Source organism: Homo sapiens, chromosome 4 (assembly GCF_000001405.40).
Source record: "Homo sapiens chromosome 4, GRCh38.p14 Primary Assembly".
Lineage (NCBI taxonomy): Eukaryota > Metazoa > Chordata > Mammalia > Primates > Hominidae > Homo > Homo sapiens.
The window spans coordinates 123,501,414-123,513,515 of record NC_000004.12 but is presented as its reverse complement, the minus strand read 5'-3'; the positions used below and the strand labels follow the sequence as shown (position 1 = coordinate 123,513,515).

Genomic DNA, 12,102 nt, shown 5'->3' with positions numbered 1-12,102 from the left:
AGGATTATCTCAATAGATGCAGAAAAGACCTTTGAAAAAATTCAACAGCGCCTCATGCTAAAAACTCTCAATAAATTCGGTATTGACGGGACGTATCTCAAAATAATAAGAACTATTTATGACAAACCCACAGCCAATATCATACTGAATGGGCAAAAACTGGAAGCATTCCCATTGAAAACTGGCACAAGACAGGGATGCCCTCTCTCACCACTCCTATTCAACATAGTGTTGGAAGTTCTGGCCAGGGCAATCAGGCAAGAGAAAGAAATAAAGAGTATTCAATTAGGAAAAGAGGAAGTCAAATTGTCCCTGTTTGCAGATGACATGATTGTATATTTAGAAAACCCCATCGTCTCAGCCCAAAATCTCCTTAAGCTGATAAGCAACTTCAGCAAAGTCTCAGGATACAAAATCAATGTGCAAAAATCACAAGCATTCTTATACACTAATAACAGACAAACAGAGAGCCAAATCATGAGTGAACTCCCATTCACAATTGCTTCAAAGAGAATAAAATACCTAGGAATCCAACTTACAAGGGATGTGAAGGACATCTTCAAGGAGACCTACAAACCACTGCTCAACGAAATAAAAAAGGATACAAACAAATGGTAGAACATTCCATGCTCATAGATAGGAAGAATCAAAATCATGAAAATGGCCATACTGCCCAAGGTAATTTATAGATTCAATGCCATCCCCATGAAGCTACCAATGTCTTTCTTCACAGAATTGGAAAAAACTACTTTAAAGTTCATATGGAACCAAAAAAGAGCCTGCATTGCCAAGACAATCCTAAGCCAAAAGAACAAAGCTGGAGGCATCACGCTACCTGACTTCAAACTATACTACAAGGCTACAGTAACCAAAACAGCATGGTACTGGTACCAAAACATAGATACAAACCAATGGAACAGAACAGAGCCCTCAGAAATAATACCACACATCTACAACCATCTGATCTTTGACAAACCTGACAAAAACAAGAAATGGGGAAAGGATTCCCTATTTAATAAATGGTGCTGGGAAAACTGGCTAGCCATATGTAGAAAGCTGAAACTGGATCCCTTCCTTACACCTTACACAAAAATTAATTCAAGATGGATTAAAGACTTAAATGTTAGACCTAAAACCATAAAAACCCTGGAAGAAAACCTAGGCAGTACCATTCAGGACATAGGCGTAGGCAAGGACTTCATGTCTACAACACCAAAAGCAATGGCAACAAAAGCCAAAATTGACAAATGGGATCTAATTAAACTAAAGAGCTTCTGCACAGCAAAAGAAACTACCATCAGAGTGAACAGGCAACCTACAGAATGGGAGAAAATTTTTGCAATCTACTCATCTGACAAAGGGCTAATATCCAGAATCTACAAAGAACTCAAACAAATTTACAAGAAAAAAAATGAAAAACCCATCAAAAAGTGGGCAAAGGATATGAACAGACACTTCTCAAAAGAAGACATTTATGCAGCCAACAGACAGATGAAAAAATGCTCATCATCACTGGCCATCAGAGAAATGCAAATCAAAACCACAATGAGATACCATTGCATACCAGTTAGAATGGCGATCATTAAAAAGTCAGGAAACAACAGGTGCTGGAAGGCTTGTGGAGAAATAGGAACACTTTTACACTGTTGGTGGGACTGTAAACTAGTTCAACCATTGTGGAAGACATTGTGGCGATTCCTCAAGGATCTAGAACTAGAAATACCATTTGACCCAGCCATCCCATTACTGGGTATATACCCAAAGGATTATAAAGCATGCTGCTATAAAGACACATGCACACATATGTTTATTGCGGCACTATTCACAATAGCAAAGACTTGGAACCAACCCAAATGTCCATCAATGATTGACTGGATTAAGAAAATGTGGCACATATAAACCACGGAATACTATGCAGCCATAAAAAAGGATGTGTTCATGTCCTTTGTAGGGACTTGGATGAATCTGGAAACCATCATTCTCAGCAGACTATCACAAGGACAAAAAACCAAACACCGCATGTTCTCACTCATAGGTGGGAATTGAGCAATGAGAACACTTGGATACAGGAAGGGGAACGTCACACACTGGGGCCTGTCGTGGGGTGGGGGGAAGGGGGAGGGATAGCATTAGGAGATACACCTCATGTAAATGATGAGTTAATGGGTGCAGCACTCCAACATGGCACATGTATATATACGTAACAAACCTGCACGTTGTGCACATGTACCCTAGAACTTAAAGTATAATTAAAAAAGAAAAAAAGAAGAAAAGATAGATGTTTCTAGCAATTCCAAGTATTCCGTAAGGGAGCACAAAGACTATGTGTTGGCTGGGGAGGCAGGGTAGAACACAGGGGCAGGAAAAGAAAGGAAGTAGGCACAGGAGGCTCAGCAGCAGATCACAAGGGCCTTCTCATCTACAAAATTTGGATTGGATCTTCAAACCTATGGGGCTATGTGGAAGGAGAATAAGGTAAAGAAGTGGCATGATCAGATGTGTGGTTTAGACAGCTCCCTTCACAGCAACATGGTGGAAGTTTCCAACAGAAAAGGCAAAGTATTTGCAAGATCAGTTGAAAGGTGAAGGCAGTTTTCCCTGGAGGCAGGGAGGAGGGCCTGAATGAGAGGGCAGGACCCTAGGGATGGAGATGACCAGGGCAGAAGTTATTTCCCGAGCAACTTGGCAAGCCTGAGTTACCACATCTCTAGCATTTTGATCTGAGCTGCATGTAGGTGCTATTCATCTGAAAAGAGAATTCAAATGGGAGGTAGGTTTTTGGCAGCAGACGGTATTAAACGCAATTTTGGATATGCTGAGTTTAAAAAGCTTGTGGGGCATCAAGGGGAGAGGTCCATTTACAAACCTTGTTTTTGCAAATTTGAGAGCCATCAATAATATGAATGGTAGCCATTTATACATTATATTTAATTAAATATAAACATATACTGAATACTGACTATGTCCTGAGCTGTTCTAGGCTCCAGGGATACAGCAAAAACTAAAACAGACAAGGGCCTGCTCCCACAGGGCTCACACTGTCATGGCGTGGGTGGGGCAAGGGTGGGGAAACAGACAGTGATCAATTATGTACATATGTTAGGGGGTGATAACATCTGTGAAGAAAAATAAGGAGACTGGAGAGTGACTGGGTACAGGGCCAGATGGCTTAGGCAAGCGAGGTACTCAGGACACTAAATGTAGAGAGGCACTCATTCTCAGGTGCTCACCCTGCCCTTGCATGAGAGTGGGTGCCTCCTTAAATTCTGTACCCTGGGTATCTTGCTTGCCTCCGCCTAGTCCCAGCCCTGACTAGATACCTGCTATTTTCTATGGATAACCAGGAAAGCCTTCGTCTAAAGGTGACACTGGAGAACTAAACAACGAAGCAAGCCACATATCGCCATATGTGAGGAAAGAACATTCTAAGCAGACAAAATCATATGTGCAAACGCCCTGAGGCAGGAGAGTAGAGGTGTGTTCAAGAAATATTTCCCAGAAAGCTCACCAAGGGAGAATGTAGGAAAGAGTTCTCTCCCAATGAGAGAACTTCTCAGAGAGCACAAGTAAGGGATGGGCAAAGGGGAAAGGCCAAAAAAGACTAAGAAGGACAGGCCATGGAGGTAGGAGAAAAACAGGAGTGTGTCCTGTCACCACAGACAAGGGAGTAACTTTCCAAAGAGGTAGCAGTTGATACTGGCAACCACCACAGATACCAGATAAGATGCGACAGAAATCTTTCAGAGGCAGCAACTGGGGCTCTGTGCTGACTTTGGGGAAAACAGATTCTGACTTGGAGAGCTTTCCTAAACTAATTCCACACCTGAATGCAAATTTTGGTGTGCACTTGTAAATAATCTTCTTTCTGGTATGGAGAATCACCATAATTATTTCCATTTCAAACCCAAGCAAGCAATGCAGAAACTAAAAATTACAGTTCAATTTGAACACTTTCAATCCAGACATAATAGTCTTATGGGAACTGATTCATAATTAAAGCCTTTGAATTCATGTCCCAGCTGGCCGAACCCTCTCATAAGTAGAGTCAGTTGCTAAAGTATCCCTTCCCTATGGGAATACATAGTCTCATTCTCTGACCTTTAATCGAGGTCCCACATAACACACTGGTCTTAGGCACTCTAGGAATTCTTCACCCCATAGAATGTGAGCATCCCCAATCTCGTCCCCTTGGGCTAGATGAATGGGCATTATTTATTAACTATGAATGAACACAAAGCTCCGGGTTCAACTAAAACCAAAACTCTTCGCTGGATGGAGTAGTTTCCTTTTAACTGAATTCCAGTGCTTTAGGGAATTTGTGGCTTCATAGTCTCATCACCAAAACTTACTTACTAACCAAAACAAAGTAAAAAATATCAGTGAGTGTGTGAGGTTTCACGGTTTAATCAGAAACAGAGGGGGAGGCCATCACTGTAATGAAGTCCAACAAAAGACACATTACATAAAATCAAAAGAAAGCCAAAGAACATAATATGCTCAAGCTCACACCTGTCCATGGAATAATAACATTGTGTTCCATTTTTCACTATGCAAAAGGAAAAACCTATAACATTTTAAAACTACAAGCAGTGGTGGGGGTATAGCTCAGTGGTAGAGCATTTGACTGCAGATCAAGAGGTCCCCGGTTCAAATCCGGGTGCCCCCTCTGTGCTCTGGAGTTTTGCCGGGCGCGGTGGCTCACGCCTGTAATCCCAGCACTTTGGGAGGCCGCGCCTGTAATCCCAGCACTTTGGGAGGCCGGGGCAGATCACGAGGTCAGGAGATCGAGACCATGGCGGTGGCGGGCACCTGTAGTCCCAGCTACTGGGGAGGCTGAGGCAAGAGAATGGCGTGAACCCGGGAGGCGGAGCTTGCAGTGAGCCGAGATCGCGCCACTCACTCCAGCCTGGGCGACAGAGCCAGACTCCGTCTCAAAAAAAAAAAAAAAAAAAAAACTGCAAGCAAAGCTGTCTCAGGTTAACATTTGTATTTCTAAGCAAATTGTTTACCAAGCAACACTTAAGCATGTTTTTTTTTTTTTTTTTTTTTTTTTTTTTAAGACAGAGTCTTGCTCTGTTGCCCAGGCTCGAGTGCAGTGGCGCGATCTCGGCTCACTGCAAGCTCTGCCTCCCGAGCTCACCCCATTCTCCTGCCTCAGCTTCCCGAGTAGCTGGGACTACAGGCGCCAGCCACCACGCCCGGCTAATTTTTTTTCTTTTTTGTATTTTTAGTAGAGACAGGGTTTCACCGTGTTAGCCAGGATGCTCTCGATCTCCTGACCTTGTGATCCGCCCGCCTCAGCCTCCCAAAGTGCTGGGATTACAGGCGTGAGCCACCGCGCCCGGCTGAGCATGTATTATAAGAAAAAACACTGACCCTCGCCACTCCCAAATTTTTTATTTTATTTTTATTTTTTTCTTTAGAGATGGGGACTTACTCTGTTGCCCAGGCTGGAGTGCGGTGGCCTGATCACAGCTCACTGTAGCCTCAACCTCCTGGGCTCTAGTGATCCTCCCACTTCAGCCTCCTGAGTAGTTGGGCCAACAGGTGTGCAACACCACACCCAGCTAATTTTTTTTTTTTCCTGTAGAGACAGGGGTCTCACTTTGTTGCCCAGGCTGGCCTATCTTTTTTAAAAAATTTATACTAATAAGTTAACTTTGAAACCAGCTTAGACAGATTTTTTCCCCTCCAAATGATGCTTCTGTGAAAAATATGAATTATGAGCCACACCTGCTGGCTGACACCTGCTTCTGGCTTTTTCCTGCTCTAAAATGGCTGAGTGAAATGGAAATGAAGCAGGAATTCATAGTTAAGGGTCAATTCTTGGACCAAGGCCGTGATGAAAGAATGTACTTGGATAAGAAACAGAAGATCCTTGCACTTGGCCACTTGGAAAGCTTCTTGGTGGTAGCCTAGGCAGTAATTAATTCACAGATCCAGGTGTTGTATGTATGTTGTGTGTGCTCTCAGAGCATGTCAGGACAACTTGAGAGCAAGAAGTCTGCAGCCACGTGGTTGGGAAGAGAAAGTGCCTTTTAAGAAAAATAAAAAATGGATGTGAGCATTTCACATAGTCAAGTGTTTGCATTAGAGACCAAACAGACATCTACCTCTTTACAGAAATGTATTAACATGCCCGACACTGAAACACCTAGATTAAAATACTTCAACATCTATTTTATAATGTGTCCTCTTTATTTTACCTTCAAAACCACAAGACAATTACCTGCTTCCTGTTTAATATGTACTGAAAATGGAAACGAATTTGATTTTTACCTGACAGCTGTCCCTTCAGATTTTTCCTTTGTTTTGTATTACTATGGCTAGAACAGCCCAGCAGGACCATGACTGTATTTTTTTTTATTGTTTTTTTTGAGACAGCTCACTCTGTCGCCCAAGCTAGAGTGCAGTGGCACGATTTGGGCTCACTGCAACCTCCGCCTTCTGGGTTCAAACGATTCTCCCATCTCAGCCTCCTGAGTAACTGGGATCCAAGCCCGGCTAATTTTTGTATTTTTTAGTAGAGACAGGGTTTCACCGTCTTGGCGAGGCTGGTCTCAAACTCCTGACCTCAAGTGATCCGCCCGCCTGGGCCTCCGAAAGTGCTGGGATTACAGGCGTGAGCCACTGCGCCTCGCCTGACTGCATGTTTTAAACAAAAACTGAGACTTATATGTGTGGACGGTTGGTTGAATTCATTTCAGACTGACTGGGGGTGGGATCTGATGGTCCTAGTGTATCCCCAGTCCCGCTGCAAGTGGAGTCCTCCATGTCGTTAGGAAGATCAGAAAAGCTATCTTGTGAAATGTCACCATGCTCCAGGGCTCTATGGGCAGTCTTCCACTTTTCTACAATACCCCAAACCTATGTGTACCTTTCCCCAGCCTGATGTTGAACACACTCTAAATTACAGCTGTGGACACAGAAGCACAGGTGCGGCCCAGCTGCAGTGGCCATCCTGCCCATCAACCTCTCTGCTTACAAGCCCAAGAGGTCAATGCGAAGCAGCAGGGCCCCCTGAGGACAAGACGTCTCCCTTTTCCCGTAGTTGCACGGGAAGCAACCCGAGACCTCCGAACTTGATGTTTAATGTGAAAAAAGGAAAGAGAGGGAGCCCATGAAAAACAATCTTGCAAGAATTCTGAACACACTTCTTTCGGCTACTCTCTGCCTAAGTGCAAAGGGCACCAAAAGGGTACGTGGGGTCTCCACTGTACTCATGGCTCACCAAAAGAGGCGACTCCCTTCCAGCAATTACTTTTTCTTAATACGGAGGCGCTTCGGCAGGGCTGACCAGACCCATGAGTCTCTCATGCCCTCTCCTTGACAATGCAGCAAGGGGGAATAGCAACAGTTAAAAGAGCGGACCACCTTAAGTAAAGGAAAAAGCGTATTTCCATATTCTTAAACAAAGGGGTTCTGCACCATCTGTCCCTGTCTGGGTGCCTCCGCTCCACACTGAGAGGATTTGCGAGGGATTCAAGTGCACCTTATAGATTAAATAGTCACTCGGCTGCTTAAGCCCGGTTGCCCAGACAATGGCCGCGCAGAGCGCCCCTTCCTCCTTCCTTCCTGTCGAGCGTTCTGCCTGACTACACAAACTCAATGCGCGCGGCTCCCCCGATGCAAGAAGTGGACTTGACCGGAGCTAAAACCAACAAAGGCAGATTCTGGTGGGAGCTGCGGAAGCGCCGGGCACTGAGTCAACAAGCGGGTCGCATTGAAATGCAAATGGCGCGGCCGCGGCCCCGGCGCACCACCTCCCGCTCCTTAACTTCTCAACCCCCGGGCCTCGCCGGGCCTTGAATGGCTCCTTTGACGCGCGGTGGCCGGCTCGGGCCGTGGTCGCGGCCTCGGCGGCGGCGGCGGCAGCGCTGCGTCCCTGCGAACTCTTTTTTTTTTTTTTTTTTTTTTGCCGTAGTTATAATTGCCCTAACTCATCATCACATCATCATCATCACCCTTCCAGACTTGCGGGTGTACACAGCCTGAAGCGCAGAATTCCCTGATCAGTGACCGAGGAACTGAAAATTTCAGCCTGCTGCTAAGGGGGGAAAAAAGTTCCAAAGTCCAATTGTGGCGGTTAGGTTTTGTTTTTTCTAAGAATTTACTCACTTAAGTATTTACTCACTTAAATCCTGTGCGCTTTCTTTTATCCAGAAAGAACCAGACTTAAATTTTTTCAGGTGCTAGATGACATATTTAGCTTAGAAGGAAGTTCTCGCGGATGCTCTGTAAACGTTTAAGTAAAAACAAATCCCGTTTGGCACTTAGTTACCGCCCGCCGTCTCTCCCCACGCCTCCATCCCTTGTTTTACTTTGGCGAGATAATATTATCAGTTTGCTGTTTATTTTGTGCTTTCCCTAAGGTCTAAAGTTAATGCATGTCCTGTTAAAATTCCTACAGGACAGTAAAGGGAGAGTAAAGGTGAGTTTTCTTTACAGAAATAAAAGGCTAATTTAATTTTTTTAAACGATGAGTTACTAGTAGTAGTTTAAAGCTACGTGGTAATTAAAAGTCACCTGAAAACCTAAGATGACCTTCTACAGGAGCTATATTTGGCTGCTATTTCAGACTGTTAGGAAATAAGGACTGATATATCTATAACAAATATAATGAAGTAAATAATTTTTCAACTCCTAATTTTGTAAGTTAACCAGAATATAATCGTATTTGAACATCTAATAGTTGTGTAATTCACTGAAATACACAGATTATTTTGCTAAAAAGCAACTAAAGAAACATGCTACCATCTTTAATTTTGCATAATTTTTAATTTATTTGGTATAACAGAGTCGAATTTAAGAAAAACTTTCATAGTTGGCGTGGCTTAAAATCAGAATACTTTATGCTTTTTGAAGGTAGGTCTTTTCTTTTGGTAACACCTCCCTACCCAGCACACAGGTGTGTGTGCAAACACACACACACACACACTTTGGCCTATAAAAAATAATTGTTGGATTGCGTTGAGCTGAGTTGAGTAGACTTAAAGAGTCGAGTTGCTCTACAAGGCAAGATTCAGAATTACAGTAATGGCATTACTTTCTGTAATGTATATCCAATAGTTCTGCTTGCGCATCCATTCTCCCTTATAGAAGGTGAACCTAATTTTCATTCAGAGGACTATCCCTCTCCCACTCACAGTCTCAGTGGTTCAGTGAGGCCGACCCCATCCACATACATGGCTCCAGGGCCACAGCTAGTCCATACAATGTCTTCACACAAGTTAGAAAAATGCACTGCTTCCTTCAGGCAAATGAAGTCCAGCACCAGAGCACCAGCCTTGCCCAGAAAATAGCCAGGGTTGCACTGCCTTGTCAGCTGGGGCTTTGTACACTTCACATCACATGCAGTCCTTCCTATTTCCAGCAGTAAACATGTGACTGCCATCAGCCTATTCAGTCTATAGTGGTAAGTTTCAGGAACAGGCATATGAACCAAGTTGATCTCATGATAGCCGGGAACTTTTGCTGAAATTATTAGAATAAAGCCATTCTTGCTTTCTAGTGGAACTGAATAACTCAGGGGTTCCCAACCCCCAGGCCACATACTGGTACTGGTCCGTGGCCTGCTAGGAACTGGGCCACACAGCAGGACACTGCTCCCCATTGCTCACATTACCACCTGAGCTCCGCCTCCTGTCAGATCAGCTGTGGCATTAGATTCTCATAGGAGAATAAACCCTATTGTGAACTGCACATGCAAGGGATCTAGGTTGCCAGCTCCTGAGAATCTAAAGCCTGATGATCTGTCACTGTCTCCCATCACTCCCAGATGGTCCCATCTGGTTGCAGGAAAACAAGCTCAGGGGTCCCACTGATTCTACATTATGGTGAATTGTATTGTTATTTCATTATATATTATAATGTAATAATAGAAATAAAGTCCACAATAAATGTAATGCACTTGAATCATCCAGAAACCATCCCCCACTCCCAGGTCCATGGAAAAATTGTCTTCCACAAAACCAGTCACTGGTGCCAAAAAGATTAGGGACTGCTGGAATAAGTGGTAGCATACAGACTTGGGGCTGCACTCTACCATCCTGTCATCAGTGAGGAACAGTCATCCATAGGAAAGAAAGAGAAGGAGAGTGAGAGATTAACCATATCATATGAGCACCCAGATACAGCCATATCTAAATCAATCACCTTTTCAGTGATGTAAGCCAATAAATTCCTTCTTTTAAATAAGCCATTTTAAGGCCGGGTGTGGTGGCTCACACCTGTAATCTCAGCACTTTGGGAGGCTGAGGCGGGTGGATCACCTGAGGTCAGGAGTTCGACCAGCCTGACCAATATGGTGAAACCCCCGTCTCTACTAAAAATACAAAAATTAGCCAGGCCTGGTGGCACACACCTGTAATCCCAGCTACTCAGGAGGCTGAAGCAGAAGAATCGCTTGAACCGGGGAGGCAGAGGTTGCAGTGAGCCGAGATTGCGCCACTGCACTCCAGCCTGAGTGACAGAGCGAGATTCCTTCTCAAAAAAAAAAAAAATAAAGTAAAATAAATAAGCCATTTTAATGATTTTTCTGTCATTTGCAATCCAAAAGAGTTTTGACCAATACAGTTGCCGCAGTAGGAAAATGTAAATCTCACAGTAAATGATAAGTATGTAACCGAATTAATGTTGGGGTTTGATATCACTGCACTTGATAATTATTTCAGTAACAGGTAAATCAGTGTAAGTCAACTTTTATAAACAACCATTCTATTTCCCCTGCCTTTTTGTCTTCAATATATAATATATTAAATTAAAATATATAAATGAATTTTATTTTCTTTGGTGGTTTGAACGGTTTTCTCTTGGCAGTGCCCATTGTTGAAAACAGTTTGAGTACTGAATGGGATGTTTAGACAGAAAGGTTGAAAACTACCCAAGGAACAAATCCCCTTGATATGTTTAATTCTGATTGTAAGTGGAATTTTTAAAAAAAATCTTTTCACATCTATTGAGCAGTCTAATAAATCTGAAATTATATTAGTAAATAAAAGAACAAACCACATAGGATATAAGAACTTAAAAAAAAAACAGTAATCCCTGGATATCAGCAAAATTTTACTAAGAAAGAGTTATACCAAACTACATTTATTTATCATTTGATGACCAAGATGGCAGCTTGCTCTTTGTTCCCAGAAATAGTCAAGTGGAAGATAGAAGATGAATCGTTTGTTAGGGATACAGAAGAAATTCTGCCTGCAGGGAGAAGTTCAACTGGTTTCTAGGTTTCTTTTAATTTTCACATCTTGAGTTTATAATTCTAACATTTTGTACATAGCAGATATGAACTTTCCCCCAAATTAATTACTATCTTCTCATCTCTTTACCATGTTGTCCTCCCCCCTCACTTATCATTCATGATTATCATTTCATTACTTTGAATTGCATTTATTTGAACCTGAAAAAATTAAATTTTGTTTTCAAAAAAGTATAACAACCTGAATTGTTTCCAGTTTTAGCCCAAAGCTAAGTTCCTGTTGCTGTTTTTATTTGAATATACAAGAACAGAGGATTTAGATATGAATGAAAATTAAGAGAAACTGCAATTCATTTTTTCTAGTTCCTGTTCTTTGTTATTCTTGGCTGCACCATTGTCATACCTTAGGAGATTGAAAAGAAATGCCATTAGTTCTTTGTTTTGTAAATACGGACTTCTTTTCCTTTTTTGCTGTAATGTCTGACACATCTGCTTTCTATTTTTATATCATAATTACAAGTACCTCTTCCATAGCTCCACTCTTCCTTTGAAATTCCTCATCTTTAAGAAGAAATCACTCACAGCTAAAATGGCCTCTCTGACTCCCACCTGTGACCTGCCTATACTATCTGCTAAGTTTCATTAAATGGAGAATAGGGCCAGAGGTTTGACAGCTCCTGTAAAAGTGAACAATGAGTTGTGTTCCTCAGCATTTCTCTTTTCTTTTCTGTGTTTTTTTTTTTTTTTTTTTTGAGACGGAGTCTCACTCTGTTACCCAGGCTGGAGCGCAGCCGCACGATCTCTGCTTGCTGCAACCTCTGCTTCCCGAGTTCAAGCAATTCTCCTGCCTCAGCCTCCCAAGTAGCTGGGACTACAGGCACATGCCACCATGCCCAGCT

The 12,102-nt window shown here is 42.8% G+C and overlaps 1 non-coding gene across 1 annotated transcript, besides 2 other annotated features; it reads left to right on the top strand.

Annotated features, from left to right (window-relative positions):
• The first annotated feature begins 4,594 nt into the window (after window positions 1–4,594).
• Window positions 4,595–4,666, top strand: TRC-GCA2-1 (tRNA-Cys (anticodon GCA) 2-1). The gene has a single exon. It is a non-coding gene; the product is annotated as a tRNA-Cys (tRNA).
• Window positions 7,128–7,975: an enhancer, noted in NCBI's record as "OCT4-NANOG-H3K27ac-H3K4me1 hESC enhancer chr4:124426696-124427543 (GRCh37/hg19 assembly coordinates)". NCBI's record gives its function as "activates a minimal SCP1, AML or CMV promoter by ChIP-STARR-seq in primed H9 embryonic stem cells {active_cell/tissue: H9 hESC(primed)}" and the evidence as "EXISTENCE:reporter gene assay evidence [ECO:0000049][PMID:30033119]".
• Window positions 11,333–11,834: an enhancer, noted in NCBI's record as "NANOG hESC enhancer chr4:124422837-124423338 (GRCh37/hg19 assembly coordinates)". NCBI's record gives its function as "activates a minimal SCP1, AML or CMV promoter by ChIP-STARR-seq in primed H9 embryonic stem cells {active_cell/tissue: H9 hESC(primed)}" and the evidence as "EXISTENCE:reporter gene assay evidence [ECO:0000049][PMID:30033119]".